The following is a 17,374-nucleotide window of genomic DNA, read 5'->3' as shown; positions in this document are numbered from 1 at the left end:
CGCTCCTCCCTCCCAGCCCGGGAAGGTCAGCGTGTGGGCAGCCCGGCCCGCGCCCCTGCGCCCACTGAGGCTTCCTGCCGGCCCTCTAGTCCCCGCCTGCCCAGCGCTCGGCCGCGACGCCCCGGCGCCGGCTCTCCCAGCCCAGCCGGCAGGACGCGCCCGGGAGCCCCGCACGCGAGCTGCCGGCTCTTTGTTTGGGGGTTTGCCTCTCTGCGATTCAGAGCACGCGGAGGGAATTAAGTCAGAGTCCGAGGCAGCTGTGCGGTTGCCGGGGGGATCCCTAAGGGGGGCGGGGCAAAAGGACGGACTAGTAGGGCGGTGGAGCGGCTTTCAAACTCCCCGCGCTCCGCAGCTCCCCGCTTAGGTCTCCCTGCCCTTTACGTTTGTCGGCCCCTGGGAGAGGTTGGCCTTTGGGGGTTTCCAGGGACCCTAGGGACAAGCCTGTCTGATAAGAGAGAGGTTCTCCATCCCCCTTCCTCACCAGCCCCCATCACTGCCGTGTCCCTCTTAGAGTCCTGTGGAGCATCAGCTTTACATTTCCTGGGCCCCGGGGAGAATCAAGGTCTCTCTAATCTGAAGCAAAAAGGAATAACAGAGAGTAGAGCCCATCTGTTCCTGCTGAGTCCCTGTGAAGGTGCAAAGCTGGCCCTAACGGGACTGGCCCTAACAGTGGGGCATGGATTATCTATTTCCCAAAGTAACAAGGGCCTTGTGCTTATCCAACCGTGTTCTTTTGAAACTTAGCTGCAGTGAGGAAGATTACCCATTTACCAGGTTGCTAGATCAGGGAAGCCACTGGAGGCAGGGGACGCTGACAAAGCCACTGTACCGGGAGCACCAACGTTCTAAATACCCCAGCTGGCTGCTGAGAAGGGCTTCGCGGGGGGCCACACAGGAAGGAGATGATTCCAATAGTCCCGTGAGATGAGGACCTTAACTGGGGGATGAATGCGGAAGCTGCAGCAAAGGAGAGTCTACAGACTGTGTGGTGTAGGAGGAGCACACTGGGGCTGTAACATTGTGGAAGTCTGGAGGAGAACCTGGAGTGATGTGACTGAGTTTAGTGTGGAGCAAGTTGGATTGGAGAAGCAGGCCACCTTCTTCCAGGGGCAGATATCCAGCAAATGCAATTGGAAGGGTGATTCTGGAGTTCATAGGAGAGACTGAGGCAAGGGATGTCAATTTTGGAATCATCTGGAAAGAAGTTGGGCCGACACAAGAGGTGGAGGGAGAGGGTAGAAAAGGTACAGAGAACAGGGCTGAAGACAGAATCTAGGTCTACCGAGAAGGAGCCCATGAAAGGAACGGAAACTATCAGGAGAAACCATAAGGGAAGGTCAGGACTGTGCGGGGTGTCAGGACTCAGGAGAAGAGGGAGGTTCAATGGGGGCCGGGGCCCGGGCTGCAGGGACACCACGGAGGAGGGCGCCCAAGAAAATAGGTTTAGATTTAGAAAGAAGGAGATCTCTGGGCTAGTTCAAGATAACTATTTGAGTGGTGGCTTATATAAACCAGGTTGCCACTCCTTGGGGCGGGGCATCTGTATCTCGGATCCAATTGGTTGATGGGGAGATACAAAGGTTCACCTCTTTGCTTCCATTACGGAGGGCCCTGAAGGGCCACCCCAGCTCCATAGCTTCCCAAGGGATCCGCCGAGGCCTCTGTGGAAAGCAGCACAGTTAAAGTTCATTCTCTGCCGAATCCTGTTTCCCTCACTCTCTCAAGGTGTTGTTCCCAAGAGCACGTCCCAGGAGACCTCCCACATACCATCTCCATCTCTGTGCAGAGTCTGTTTCCTAGAAATCCAACCGGAGGTACAGGGACACTGAGAAAGGGCGCAGGAAACAAAACTTGGCCTCTAACGGAGCAGTTTAAACAGACAGGGATGGTTAGAAAGACTCAGAGAAGGTGGTGTGAAGGAAAGAGCCTGGGGAATGGGGAGCGAAGAGGAAGCTTATTCGTAGTAGAAGATGGATTTTCAAAAGCCGGATGGAAGAGAGAAGAGTGGAGTAGGCCCGAGGAGGGGAGAATGCTGGAAGAGGGTAAGGGTGAGGGGAGGTCAGTATTCACCAAAGTTAATAACATTAAAACAGCAATGAGGAAAGAGAGGGTTGGAAAACGGCCTGGAGTGACTTTCTAGCAGTAGGAGAGGGTGAGTGATGAATGAAGCTCTGGGCTAGGGTAGTCCCTCTCCAGCAGTATCCCCAGTAACATTAAACGTTTACAGTGGAGAACCAATGGAAATATAATATGTAATTAAAAATTTTCCGTGAGCCACGTTTAAAAAAAAAAATCAATATAAAGAAACAGGTGAAAGTAATTGTAATGATATATTTTATTTAACACAGTATATCTAAAATATCATTTCAGCGTGTGTCAATATGAAAAATCAACGATAAGATATTTTACATTTTTTCCTACTAAGTCTTCCAACTCTGGTTATATTTTATGTGTATTGCACATCTACATGCAAACACTACATTTTCATTGGAAATATTCAGTGTGTATTTAGATTTCATAACGTTTTGGTTGAGGAAATAGATTTACAAGCCTACGTTGTTATATACATACTTAGCTTTCCAACAATAAAATCAAATGATCAGTTTTTAAATTTGTTTATATTAATTAAAATTAAATGAAATAATCCAGCCCTTCAGTTGCATGTGGCACATCTCAAGTGCTCAGTAGCCACATGTGGCTAGTGGCTACCATATCAGACCACATAGGCCTAGAATTCTAATTCCTAGACTTTTTGATTTTGGCTTTCTTTTGTCCTTACCTTTTATGAAGGAATTGGCCTCTTCTACCAGCACTGCACCATTAACAAGATCCTAACCTATTCCATGTTATTTCACAAAACATACTTGAAGAAGGTGAGGGGGAAGAATGAGAATCCACCATCTATGAAAATGGAGATGGGAATTCAGCTTGGACTAGAAAAGGTATGAGGAAGATGAGATAGGAGTTGGAAATATTCCATTTTGATTCTTATTCTGTGGTTGTATGAGGAGGGAGGTTTCTCTGCCAGGTTGGGTACTCCAGAGATTGAATGGACGGTGCTGTGAGAATGAACAGGACAACTCCTGTTTGTACAGGCTCCCATTTTAGCAGCTTTCCATGAGCATGGAGCATTGGTTGAGTCACGAACACTAGGATGTGGTTAAGTATTTGGAAAAAAAAATGGAAGGGGCTAAGTGAAATCCTCCAAAGGAGAGTTTTAATCCCAGATCTGGAGACCTGTGCCCCTGCTATGGTTTGGATATGGTTTGTTTGTCCCCTCCAAGTCTCATGTTGAAATTTACTCCCCAGTGTTGGAGGTGGGGCCTGGTGGGAGGTGTTCAAGTCAGGGGGTGGATCCCTCATAAATGGCTTGGTGCCATTCTTGCAAGAGTGAGTTCTTGCTGTTAGTTCCTGTGAGAACTGATTGTTGAAAAGAGCCTGGCACCTCCTCCACACTCTCTGCCACCTCTCCCAACTTGTGATCTGTATATGCGGCTCCCCTTCACCATCCCCCATGAGTAGAAGCTTCCTGAGGCCCTTGTCAGAAGCAGATGTTATCACCATGCTTCCTATACAGCCTGTAGAACCATGAGCCAAATGAACTCCTTTTCTTTATAAACTACCCAGCCTCAGATATTCCTTTTATAGCAACACAAATTGACTAAGACAGCCCCATATTCAGGCCTGTAGCTCATCTTCTGTCCCGGCGGGGTGCTGGCAGCTTCTGCTTTTAGGCCATGCTCTGGCACCATTTCCCTGCCTTTATATCTGATAGGGAGATCTGTCAATGGATGCAGTAGTAATGGAGTTTGTAGAGACTCCTTTAGAAATTTAGGGAAAAATCCCCAAAAAACCCAACTTAGACTTCCTTGTTTGTTATCTGAAATGACCTACATCTATTGCTACTTGGTGATATAGTGTAGCTCTTGTGAGACCCTGCTCCATGCCAGCACAGGGCCTGATAGCCTCTCTACCCAACAACAGTGTCCATATCCATTCCTAGAAATGGAGTCACAGAAAATACCATTTTTTGTTTTGTGGATGGCTTAACGGTAATTTTTTGTTTTGTGGTTAACTTAACGGTAACACACACACACACACACACACACACACACACACACACACACACGACAGTGAGGAGAATGTTCTGTTATTGTTGGCATCCCCCGGATATATGGCACGTTAACTTGGCATTCAGGTTGTACAGTAAACCCTCATAGGTCAGGAACTGTAAAACTTGCTTTTCTCCATCCTCCGAGCATAAGCTTGTCTTTCTTTTTCTTTTTTTTTTCTTTTTTTGAGACGGAGTCTCGCTCTGTTGCCCAGGCTGGAGTGCAGTGGCACGATCCCGGTTCACTGCAAGCTCCGCCTCCCGGGTTCACGCCATTCTCCTGCCTCAGCCTCCCGAGTAGTTGGGACCACAGGCACCTGCCACCACGGCTGGCTAATTCTTTGTATTTTTAGTAAAGATGGAATTTCACCGTGTTAGCCAGGATGGTCTCGATCTCCTGACCTCGTGATCCGCCCGCCTCGGCCTCCCAAAGTGCTGGGATTACAGGCATGAGCCACCGCGCTGGGCCAAGCTTGTCTTTCAAAACAATTTCTAGTCACTACCTAGGAGGATTGCAAGGAAATGAAGCTACTTCTGCCTCCTTGACATCCATGCTTGGTTAAGCTGCTGTCCTGATATGGCCCTAATGAGTACTCTTTGTATAAACTCGTGACTGAGCCATTCTGAGGAAGATCAGTTAGGTTCTTGGAGATATTAATGGAAAACATTCCCTTCAGGATACCCATCAGAGACAGCTAATCTGACTCAGCCTCCATCTTTAAAATGGGGAGAAACTCCTCCTAAGATTCTTTCTACTCTCTTAGAAAGTGGAAACTAGCCTTGGTTTTTTAATCCATGTGAAAAATAGAGCTAAAAAGCCTTTTGTTAGCATCTGTCTTTCTTCTGGAAGGACTAGGGAATGACCAGATGTTAAATATTGATCAGTTAGGCTTAGCTTTAATTCAGCCTACATTTGGCTATGAACTTGATGACTGACCCTTCTGATTTTTGCAATAGTATCTGCTGCTTAATAGGTAAAGAAATGACTGCGGAATTGAACCTCACAGTCTCAGGTATAATTCCCATGAGAAAGATGTTACAAGCAGGAATTTTTCAACTGTTTTCAGGCATACTTCCAATCACACCAAGAACATTAGTTGCACTAATTAGTGCTTGAAATATTGATCTTCATTAGCAGTGTCAAAAGCATTGCTCAAATGTCCGTGCTCTCTTGGCATTCTACATGAAGGAACTTACAGTTTGGTTCTTTCCCAGGAGAAAATTAGTGAGAGCAAAACAGAAAAACATATCTAGTATACAGGAAACATAAGTAGAGAGAGCTGAGCAAATATATAAATAACATACAAAATGATAATTATTTACAAATGGAATTTTTTTTTTTTTTTTTTTTTTTGCTACAGGTAGCACACTGCTAATCCTCTCTCATCTTCTCCAGGAAGCTTTCTAAAGCCTGCTTCTGTAAGGTTCTCTGGACCCAAAGTCACATACTGGGAAGGAAGAGAAGCCTTTGGATAAACATCATGAATTTTCCTGGAGCAACTGTTCTATTTAAGATTTTATATAATATTTTTTGGAAAGAAGGGAATAGGTTTTAAAAAATATTTTCAAAAGTGTAACATCCATCTATGCTCATTTTAGACAATTTGATCAGTATAAAATATTAAATAAGAACGTTAAAAACCACTTGGACTCTTACCTATCATAAATAACCACTGTATTACTGGATTTTGGTGAATATCTTTTAATTGTGTGTGTTTGTGAGTATGTGTTTGTAATCAGATTTTTTTAAATTTGAGGCTATATTCTAGTCAGCTTTTTATGTCAATGGATTTAAGAATATGTTACATCACTTTAAATGTAATGTATGGATATACCACAATTTATTTAACTAATACCCTATTAATGAATATTTAAGATGTTTTCTTTTCTTTTTTTTTTGAGATAAAGTCTCACTCTGTTGCCCAGGCTGGAGTGCAGTGGCGTGATCTGGGCTCACTGCAACCTCCACCTCCTGAGTTCAAGTTGATTCTCCTGCTCAGCCTCCCGAGTAGCTGGGATTACAGACACGCACCACCATGCCCAGCTAATTTTTGTATTTTTAGTAGAGACAGGGTTTCACCATGTTGGCCAGGCTGAGCTTGAACTCCTGACCTCAGAAGATCCGCCCACCTAGGCCTCCCAAAGTGCTGGGATTACAGGCGTGAGCCACGCTTCCAGCCAGGATGTTTTCAATGAAAAAAGATTTTTGATGATGTTGTTATGAAACATTCTTTAATATATATACTTGCCTACTTATTCAATTATTTCTTTATGGCAAATTCCTACAAAATGAGTCACAGAAAGTATTTATTTTGGTAGCTGAACACACACACACGCTCGTATAGATATATTCACACATACACATACACACATGTATACATACGTATGTATGTGTATATATAGACCTATTCACATGTACACACATATATACATACATATGTATGTGTACATATATATATATAAAGTCAAAAATGTTTTAAACTTAAATATGGTTGTTACTTCTTGAGAAGAGACTGGGATTGGGGATGCAGTCAGAGGAATTTGACCAAACCTATAATCTTTTAGTTTTTTCACAGGGAGAAAATATATGTATAACTTAAAATTAGTTAAAATTAAGGGTAACAATAACCAAAAATGGACAAGATAAAGTAGTTATCAAGTGGCAATCACACATCATTGCAAATAAAATGATCTGCTTCCTTTTGCTGAAAATACTTAACGGTAACTACTGGAAGAATAGAAATACGATATGTAAATGTTAAACTGCTGAAAGAAAAAAACAAAGGGAACCAGGACACCTAAAACCTTGATTAATCCAACAAAAGTAAGAAATGAAAAAATTAAAAGAAACAACAAGAAAGCGCATAACTAAAAAGTACAAGCATGTGGACAAATATGTCCAAATATGCCAATATTTGGAATTAATATGATTTGGTTAATGTGTCTATTAAAAGATGGCAACTCTCTGGATAACAAAACCAAATGCAGTTATATGTTACTTAAAAGGGACACACATGAAAAAATGACACAAAGTTTCAAAATAAAGGAGTGGAAAAGATGTATTAACTAAGGAAATGCTGGCACCAAGAAGTAGATATGCCAATATTAATATAAGATAAAATGAATCCAAAGCCCAAAGAATTCATGGTCACAGAAGACTATTTATTTATTTCTTTATTTAGAGATGGGGTCTTGCTCTGTCACCCAGGCTGGAGTGCAGTGGCATGATCTTGGCTCACTGCAATCTCCATCTCCCAGGTTCAAGCAATTCTCCTGCCTCAGCCTCCCAAGTAGCTGGGATTACAGGTGTATGCCACCATGCCCAGCTAATTTTGTATTTTTAGTAGAGACGGGGTTTCTCCATGTTGGCCAGGCTGGCCTCGAACTCCTGACCTCAAGTGATCTGCCCGCCTTGGCCTCCCAAAGTGCTGGGACTACAGGCGTGAGCCACCGTGCCTGGCCAAAGAAGACTTTTTTTTATTTTGTTCGTGTCCACCCATGAACCTTTGTGCATAGCTCCAAAATGTATAAAGCAAAGATGATAGGACAAGTAGACAAAAAATAACCCAAGGATTGAGAGGTGCACTTTCCAATATAGTAGCCACTAGCCACACAGTATAGCCAGTAGTCACTAGGTTATTTAATACTTCAAATATGGCTAATCCACGTTGAAATGTGCTATAAAGTGTAAAACATACATTGGATTTCAAAGACTTGGTATGAAAAAATAAAGTAAAATAGCTCGAATATTTTAAATATTGATTATATTTTGAAAAGATCATACTTTAGATATGAGTTAAATAAAATCTATTAAAATTATGAGAACTTATGAACACAAAGAAGGAAACAACGACACTGGGGTCTTCTTGAGGGTGGAGGTTGGGAGGAGGGAGAGGAGCAGAAAAGATAAATATTGGGTAGTGAGCTTAATTCCTGGGTGATGAAATGATCTGTATGACAAACCTCTGTGACATGAGTTTATATATGTAACACACCTTCACATGTACCCTCAAACCTACAATAAAAGTTAAAAAAGATTGCAACCTAAAATAAATGGATAAATAAAATCTGTTAAAATTAATCTCATCAGTTTATTTTTGCTTATTTTAAAGTGGTGACTAGAAAATTTAAAATAACATACGTGTTTCTCATTGTATTTTTATTGGACAGCACTGAAGAGGATTTAAATGAACACAAATAACAAATATGGTATAATAATTATAGAAAAGAAACATTTTGACTTATCAGATTTTATGTTCTTTTCAGTCATGCAATATTTATAAATTGATCAATCACCTGACCATAGGAAGATCTCAAAAACATGTGAAAACTAGTTTTGGCAGAGGCTGTGATATCCAAACACAATGCTTTTCCCAACTCAAATGGAAATCATTATTGCCTATACCAATTTCTGTTGCCCTTCCCAGTGATTATGGGGAGGTGTCTATGCAGGTGGGGTCTGCAGATAGCATGACCCTGATGGCAGGGATTCTCTATCCCTCTCAGGAGTCCATGGCACCAGAGGTCCTACTCTGCCTGTTGGCCCCAGCTCACAAGATTTATTGAGTCAGAACTCCCCTTTCAGAGCGCAGTGACAACAGCTTGAACCTAGGAGGAAATGCTTTATCTACAAATTTGCTCCATGTAAATGGAGGCCTGAAGGGGACAGGCCTGACTGGCTCAGCTGTTCTGAAGTATTCACCTGATGACATTGAGATCCCAGGCTCTCTTCCCCACATGGATCTCATCACTCTTAACTTGGGGTGCTCTGGAACTGTTCTTGCCTTGTGTAGTCCCTCCTACTCATTTTGGCTTGGTGGTTTTTTTTTTTCTTACCTTCTCTTGTTTTTGTTTTTAATCAATTCAGTCCTATCTTTCTAAAAAAATCATACTTCAATATTTCTAGTCTGCAGGTAGCATTCTTCCTTGATTTCCAGCCACATTATAAATCTATTTTTTTCAAAATATAATTTCTGTTATTTCATGGTACTTTGTGTAGGTGAAGATGTAGAAGATGGTACGCACTCTGACCTCCTCCTGATCCATCATGATATAAGTTTTTGTATATTTATCTCATAACCAGTCACCTTACTAAAGACACTTTTCATATTAAAGTAAACACTATGTATCATTACAAAGAATTCATGCAAAATATTTTTCAGTGACATAAGAACTCAAGTAAATTATGTTCTTGTGTCATAGAACACAAGGTTGTGGAGGGTTGCTATACTGCAGATTCTTCTTGTTACTAGGGATACTTTGAGGACAAAATTTCGGAAGCTTGATTTAAAAAAAGGATTTTGACTGCCTTGAATTAGCATCTCAATCACTCTTTCTCTCTCCCTCTCCCTCTCTTTCTCTCTATCTCCCCACCACCCAACCCTTTCTTTCTTCCTTTTTCCTGGTTGCCCGCAACTACAGACAAAACCTACTTTATGGTCATGCAATCTGTGCAGTTACACAAAGCCCCACACTTTGATGGGCCTAGCACATCATTAAATGCTCTACTCTTGCTATCTTGAAATTCTCAATAATTTTTGAAAAAGAGTCTTCACGTTTTCATTTTGTACTAGTCCTTGGTATTTCTGCAAAACACCTAGCTAGTGTTATACATTTTCTACCCAAGTTAAAAGAGTATAGCTTGTGGCATTTTGCTGAGCCCAAAGCAAAAATACATCATGTGTATCTTGGGAAAATTCTTACCTTTACTTTAGGATTGGTGACAGTGGTGGGAGGTTTGAATTTGGGGGAAGGATTAGGACCAGAGCCACATCCATTAGGACTCTTTTGTGAGCTGGCTTCACCTTCACCTCTTGATGCTCTTATTCATGCTTTCCTCTCCAGTCCATATCACAGCTTGCAGCTCAGTACACACAATTTGTCCTTTCTTCCACACATTTGCCCAAGTGCTTTCCATTGCTCTCAGTGCCCTTTCCCACCCTGTCTGCTTGGTGAATTCCTATTTAATCTTCACATTTTGCTTTAGTTATCACCTCCTTTAGGAAGCCCTCCCTGGCCTCTCTAGGCAGAGTTAAGTGACTTGTTTTTATCTCAAATCTCTAAGAAGAACTTAATATGGAACAGAATTTTTTTAATATACTTCTTTTCCACTAGAACCACTAGAGTGATGATTCCCAACTTCTGTTGTGTGTGTGTGCATACATCACAGCATTAAAATACTAAAACACACTAAACAAGTCAGGAATCATTACAATGCAATTACTACTGCAGTATAAATGATTTTCAAAGCAACTATAAAAGCACCCAACTATTGCCAGACTATCATTTGGTCTCCCTTTAATACTGGTTTTCTGTTCTGTTACATTTTTTTATGTTCCAATAAACACCAGTTTGGCCAGATTTTACATTTCTCACCTCACATCATAGCCAGCTTACCCCATGCTCCATTGTGATATGACGTTTTGGGGTCTGTGCTCCATTTGACAGGCATTGCTAGCATGTATATCCCATTAGAATGAAAATATATGTTAGATGTTAATTGAAATTTGGCAACCCACCATGAACACCAGGATCAGTTACACAGATTGTTGACTGCACCAGGGTGCTCAGTTGAGGGGAAAAAGGGGGACCAATGGTCAGTTTAATGTGCTCACCTGGCTGTGTGCACCCTGGACTGCACCTGTCCCAAAGGCAGGCCTTTTTAAAATTTGTACAAAAGGTATCATTGGGACTAATGGTGGGGGCTCTGGCTTGGGCATTCCTGGGTGCCACAGCAGGTTCTTTGGGAACTGCTAGAGAGCAAGGGCTGGATTCTATTCATCTTTACTTCCCTAGCACTTAGTATAGTGCTGGACAATAACAGAACTGAAAACATGTAGAATAAATTATAAAACCATCAAGACTCTCTGCTAATGGTGTGCAACATGATTTTGGCCTAGTCTATAGCCTTGTTAACATAAATTTTCCAATCTGGTCTGCTGGTGCAGATTTAAGTGGCTCTTAAATGTGGTGTCCAATACACTATGTGATATGGTAAAAGTTATAGCTATCACCCCAACCCCTAATCCCCAGCCTCCAAGAATCATGCATAGCCCTGGATCCCTTGCATCTGTGCTGAAGTCCAGAAAAATCCCTGGGGGTAGTTAAACTCTCAATTAGCCTTCATCAAGTGTGCTGTCGTGGAAAGAAAGGCCGGAGTCTGCTGACCAATGCACTTCCTTCTTATCAGACAGGAATTCCTGCGATCTCTCTCCCTGCCGCATTTCCTACATAGCACATATGTGATGAGCGCGGTTTTAGAAATTAGCACTTAATGAGAACTTGAAAATTCTAGCACTGGGAGATGGCTTAGAGGTCACCTAGTCTGATCTCACAATCAGGAGATTGATCCCCAGAGAGGAAGGTGATGTCACATGGTCAGGTGTTGGCAGAATAGCCTTTGGAGCCTCCGCCTCCCTCCTGTGGTCCTGTGTGTGCCTTACTCCTTCCTTTCATTCAGGTCTGCAGCAGTTTCTCTTCCCACCTACCCTGAACTGCCCTCTGGCCATTCCCTAGTCCTACTCTAAGAGGTGGCAGAGCCGAACCCAGGAGGGTGGGGAGAGGAAATGGCAGCAAGGTCTATCTGCTCCCCAGTCGGCAGGCCTCTGTCTGGAGATATCACATTGACACTGCTGGATTTGTGCTAATGAAGAGTCAGAAAATCAGCCAGACTCTCATGGGGTACAGGCTGAGAGTGGAGGCCAGCAACTGAGGCAGTGGGTGACCCACTCACATCGGGCTGAGTGTTGCGTACAGTGCCCGGAAGTCAAACCCACACACTCTCTTCAATCACAGAGTTCCCATCACGTTCCTCATTTTGTCTCAAGCACCTGCTTTTGAAGCCTTGGGGGAGGGACCAGCACACAGGCTTTGCAAATGTGTCTTCTTGGAAGCCTGTGTGTGGGGTCTGGCCCCACCCTCCCACCCCAGGCTCAGGGCCTGCAGTGGCTCCGGAGAGTTAGGGACTTGGCTACCCCAATGACTCCCACCCTCTGACCTCAGAGACCTCCCAATCCAATTGCCTCACAGGTCGGATGAGGAAATGGAAGTCCTGAGAGAGAGCAAGAGTGAGAGAGAGCAAGAGCGAGCGAGAGTGAGAGTGAGAGAGAGGCTAATGGCTGCAACAAGAAAAGGCAGTAGACTCAGGCCTCTTGACTTCTTGACTCTTTCCAGCACAGCAGGCTCCTGTTGGTTCTTGAGTCCTCAGATGGACTCCCCCAGTTGGTCAGCAAGCCAGACTGGGGACCACCACCACCAAGTCTCCTTGTGGATTTTCATTCCTCCATTTAATAAATGTTTCAAGGGCACTTACCATGGGCCTGGCACTGCTGTCAGCACTGGAAGTGCAGCAAAGAACAACATAGATAATGCCCCAGCTCTCACTGAGCTTAAAGTCTAGTGGAGCACACAGATAATGAGTGAATGAACATAGAGAAACAAGGACATATCAGATAGGGATGAGTTCTGCGGAGAGAAGAGACACAGAGATGTCATGGAGAGTGACTGAGGAGTGTAGAATCAGAGTCAGGGAAGAGCTCTCCTGGGGATGAGATCTGAGTGATGAGAAGAAAACAGACAGTTGATATGGTTTGGCTTTGTGTCCCCATCCAAATCTCATCTCAAATTGTAATCCTCACGTGTAAAGGAGGGACCTGCTGGGAAGTGATTGGATCATGGGGGCGGTTTCCCCCATGATGTTCTTGTTCTAGTGAGTTCTCATGAGATCTGATGGTTTAAGTGTGTGATGGTTCACCCCCATCTCACTCTTTTTCTTCTGCTGCTATGTAAGATGTGCCTTGCTTCTTCTTTGTCTTCTATCATGACTGTAAGTTTCCTGAGGCCTCCCCAGGCATGTGGAACTGTGAGTCAATTAAACCTTTTTTCTTGATAAATTACCCAGTCTCAGGTAGTTCTTTTATAGCAGTGTGAAAACAGACTAATACACCAATGAAGATTGGTCAAAAGTAGGAAGCCAGGGTAGGAGACCAAGTTCAGGCAGAAGGCACACATACCCTTAGTCAGGTATGAATTTGGCTAACGGAGGACTGGAGTTTGGAGTTCAGCGAGCAAAGGAGAAAGGGGAAGTAAGAAACATGTAAGAGATACAGGCGAAGAAGGGCAGATCCTATGGGGCCCGAGGGCCAGGGAGAGGGGTTTTGTTTTTGTTCTCAATACAATGAGAGGTCACTGGAGGATTTGAAGCAGACAAATCCCATGCTCTCACTTAAATTTTGAAAAGATCATTCTGGATGTCATGGGAAGAACAGAAAGGGGCAAGAGTAAAAACAGGCAGATAAGCTGTCAAACCTGGATTTTCACAAGGCTGCTCCTGCAAGGCTGTGTAGGCTGCACACTGCCCAACTCCAGGGGTGCCTTGCACCTGAACAGCAGTAGGAACAGTACCCTCTGAGGCTGTGTGTAGTGGGCCGGGGGATTTTTGGTCCCTTATGAGGCTCAAAGATACCTTCTACCCTATGTTCTCATGTCAAAGGAGCAAAATAAAAATCCCTTTAATATCATTTTCTACACAAAAGTAAGACAGACTACAAACCATTATGTGCCAGACTTGATCATTATACCATGAAGTAAATATGAGAAATAATAAGATCAAAAATAATCTTTTAATTAACTCATGTCTATTGGAAAATATATTAATCTTATTTATTTATTTATTTATTTTGTAGAAACAGGGTCTTGCCATGTTGCCCAGGCTGGTCTCAAACTCCTGAGCTCAAGTGATCCTCCTGCCTTAGGCTCCCGAAGTGCTGAGGTTGCAGGCATGAACCACAATACCCAGACTAATCTTTTATTATCTGCCTCAGCACTAAAAAAAATCACAGATGATCAAAAAAGTATTTTTATAATAAATTACATTTGTTTTAAACTTGTACCTAATGGTGAGTACTCACAGACACAAGTTGCAGCTATTCAATGGTCATGTATTTTGGTTCATATCAATGTCCAAGATGAATCAGGAATGTTAAAAAAAAACCACTTTCTCATTACATATTTGTTGGGTATTTACTATATGCCAGGCACTGCTGGATCTTGGGCAAATGGACAGCCAATGTCTTTCCTGCCTTTATGGACTCTAGAGTCTAGTGGCCTGGACAGACATAAACAAGAAAAGACATACAAAGAAATAGGCAGTCAAAAATTGTAGTAAGTGCTATAATGGAAAAGAACAGAGGAAATAATGAAGTAGAAGGCTCATTTAGATCATGAGGGTCAGGGTAGGCCTACCTGATGAAGTCTCAAAAACGGCCAAGGACCATGGCTATTTGCACACTTCCACTGCTTCCCCACTTCATTCCCTTCTCCTGTTGCTCTTCGAACAAATACTTGCCCAGGGACTCACTGTCTTACCTCAGCATCCCTCCCTCCCAACCCATCCCCTCCAAGCTCAGCCCTACTCTCTGTGACCCTGAGAAGTCTGAGAGCTGGTATCTCTAATCAAGGACAAAACAGGAGCCAGTACAGCCCTGGGCCCCAGAGAGAGGGCAGCATGAAGCCCTTGGTCTGGTCCTCACACAGGCTCTCACTCCTGTTATGACCTTGGGCATCGCCTCCTCTTTGCAGAATTCTCAGTATCTCCCATCTATTGAGTAGAAGGAAGCACACAGTCCCTGGAGTTCCTAGATGAGCCCCCAGGGATTGACTCTGCTGCCCGGATGTCTTTGGAGAGTCTCAAGGAGGCTGGCAGAGCCCCAGGCCTGCCTGGGAGCAGATGGACAGAGAAAACCCTAGAGTGCCTCCACTTTCTATCATCACTATGACAACCCTTCCATGGGATCCTAATGTTGGGGTGATGCCTGACTTTTCTGGCCTAAAACTGAGAGTTAAACAGAAAGCAATCCTTCGGGGGGCAAGGAGATGTGCAAGGAAGGGTATGGCACCAGAACGACCTCAGTTTGTCTTAGCTCCTCACTTACCAGTTGGATGACCTTGAACATATTCCTGATTTCTCTGAGATGCAGTTTTGGCAAATAGAAATGCTTATCCCCCGTCACAGATTTGAAGTGAGAATGGCTTATAGATGCCAGCTTGCAAATGTTTCCCACTGAGACCAAGCAGGGGCTGCAGGGCTGTGGCTGCTGCAGAACTGAAGTGAGAGATAGCCTCAGCTTGGTGGATGGAAACCAAAATACCCTCACGTGTGAGAAAAGCAAAACAGTTTGTTTATTTATTTTGTGCCAGAATCTTCTGGTGCATGAGCCTACGGAAACGGCTCTGCAGAATTGGAAAGGATAGAAGTGTGTTTATCACTTTCTTGGGTAAACTTCATTTGCATTCCTACAGAGTGTTGATCGTACTGTTCCAAGAAATGAAGTTGTTTGGTGGGCTGGCTTCCCTCATCTCCAAAAGAAATCGTGTGTGTGTGTGTGTGTGTGTGTGTGTGTTTGTGTGTGTGTGTCTGTGTGTGTAGTAGGTACAGGATTTCTCTCTCTTGAGCATCTGCTACATGCCAGATACTTGTACTAGGTACTTTAAATACTGTGGCAGACACAATAGGTGGGCTCACTCAGTACCCAAGCAAGCACCTACTTCCTCCCTTGCCTTCCTCTTTTAGAGAGCCTGGAAATCTAAACACTCAACTTCCCAGAACTCTGTAGGTGGCCATGTGACATAGTTCTGCCCAATAATATGTAAGTGAAAGTTGGTAGAGAGGGCATCTCTTTCTAACTAAAAGAAAAAAAAAGTCAAGAAAAGAAAACCCTTTGTCTTCTTCCCACTTCTCTCTCCCTCCTGCCTGTAATGTGGATGTGATTCTTGGAGATGCAGCAGCTATGTTGCAACCATGAGGCAAGGCATGAGGTTTTGAGGATGCAGGAAGTCATCCACAGACTAAGGATGGAGGAGATAAATGCTAGAAAGAGTCTTAGCCCCTGATATTGTCTTCATTGGATACATAAGCAATATTATAAGACACAGCAGTATTTAAGTATCATTAGGAAAGATAAAATGCTATTAATTAAACTACAACTTGACATGTTTTTAAGACACAACCAGATTCCCAAGATGTTCAAATGTGAAAAAAAGTGGGTTTTAGAATCAATGAGAATTGCACAGGTATCTGAGCCCTGGAATATCTAACTTTGGACTTCTTATGTGAGAACAACAAACTCCTAATTTGTTTAGGTGTAGTTGTTGGGCTTTCTGTTACTTGCAGCAGAACACATTCCTAACACTGACTCCTCACAATCATTTCCTGAGGTGGGTATTAACATTTGAATTCTACCAATGAGGAAACTGAGGCACAGGACAATAGGCTTGCCCTAGCATATAATCACATAGCTGAGCCCACAGTGAGAACCTCCAACTTGAGTGTTCTTGGCCCCACACCTCATCTGCTCCATGGCTTTTCCTGTCTTGCATGTGACCTTCACAGTATGGCGATGAAGGGTGATGAGCAGCCACACCACTGCCCCATTCACCTGCTCAGGAAGACACTCCCCACAACTCACTGGGACATGAGATTGGCTCCTGGGAGCTGGGAGCCAGGACTTCAGAATTCAACAACCATTCTGGTATGAGGTTTCTTAGTCATTTGGGCAGTTTGCTTTCTTGATCCTGTTTTCTGCTTTCCTTCTCTCTGTACCCTTCCCCATCCCCCATTGAAGAAAAACACAGGAAATGAGAAAGATCAATTTACATGTGGAAGATGTGCATATTCATACTCTTCCTATAATCCTATAGACTTCCAGTTTGGGGCGCTGGAGAGGCCACAGATGAGTTAGGAATCCCTGGTCAAGAGCCTCTTGCCAAATTAGTCAGTCAATTTTCTTTTGCCCCTGGCCTTTGAGGACAGCCCTTTGGAGACCGAGGCATGAGGGCTTAGGACTCCTGATCAAAGGCCACAGACAGAGACAGTGTTTGTGTCTATAATTTAAGGAAATGTTCCCTTCAAACTCAGAGTTTTATTTCTTGCAGCAGAAGGAGGAGATGAAATTGTTAAAAGGTTGTTAGCGTTCAGTAAGAAAGAATGAGCTTTTCCAGATCTCTGTGTTTGGTAGAATAAATTGAGAGCAGTAGGGGCGTATTCGATGGGATATTAGTCAAGTTAATACATGAGAACATTACTTTTTTTAGTATGTGGTTTACAGAATCACTTGAAATGCCTAAGGAGAACACTGGGAAGAGAATTGTTCCTTTGAGACATGTAAAATGGGCCCTGTGCAAAACCAGGGTGAGCAGGGTGCAGCAGCTCTCCAAGGGGCTGGGAGTGTAGTGGGATTTTTTAAGGAATTAGAGAGACCGATGGGG

General features: G+C 43.4%; 1 long non-coding RNA gene across 1 annotated transcript, besides 2 other annotated features; it reads left to right on the top strand.

The window, feature by feature from the left end:
* Positions 1–9: 9 nt before the first annotated feature.
* LOC124902911 (uncharacterized) lies at positions 10–8,192 on the top strand. The gene is made up of 2 exons (XR_007063264.1): positions 10–2,942; positions 5,473–8,192. It is a non-coding gene; the product is annotated as an uncharacterized LOC124902911 (long non-coding RNA).
* Positions 4,567–4,736: an enhancer, noted in NCBI's record as "experimental_28199 CRE fragment used in MPRA reporter constructs". NCBI's record gives its function as "activates a minimal promoter by MPRAs in K562 erythroleukemia cells, with activity observed for the introgressed 12:31074982 variant allele {active_cell/tissue: K562}" and the evidence as "EXISTENCE:reporter gene assay evidence [ECO:0000049][PMID:34662402]".
* Positions 16,520–17,020: an enhancer, noted in NCBI's record as "H3K4me1 hESC enhancer chr12:31062613-31063113 (GRCh37/hg19 assembly coordinates)". NCBI's record gives its function as "activates a minimal SCP1, AML or CMV promoter by ChIP-STARR-seq in primed H9 embryonic stem cells {active_cell/tissue: H9 hESC(primed)}" and the evidence as "EXISTENCE:reporter gene assay evidence [ECO:0000049][PMID:30033119]".

This window comes from Homo sapiens, chromosome 12 (assembly GCF_000001405.40).
Source record: "Homo sapiens chromosome 12, GRCh38.p14 Primary Assembly".
In the NCBI taxonomy this organism is placed as follows: domain Eukaryota; kingdom Metazoa; phylum Chordata; class Mammalia; order Primates; family Hominidae; genus Homo; species Homo sapiens.
The sequence above is the reverse complement of the archived record's forward strand: the minus strand, read 5'-3'. Positions and strand labels throughout refer to the sequence as shown.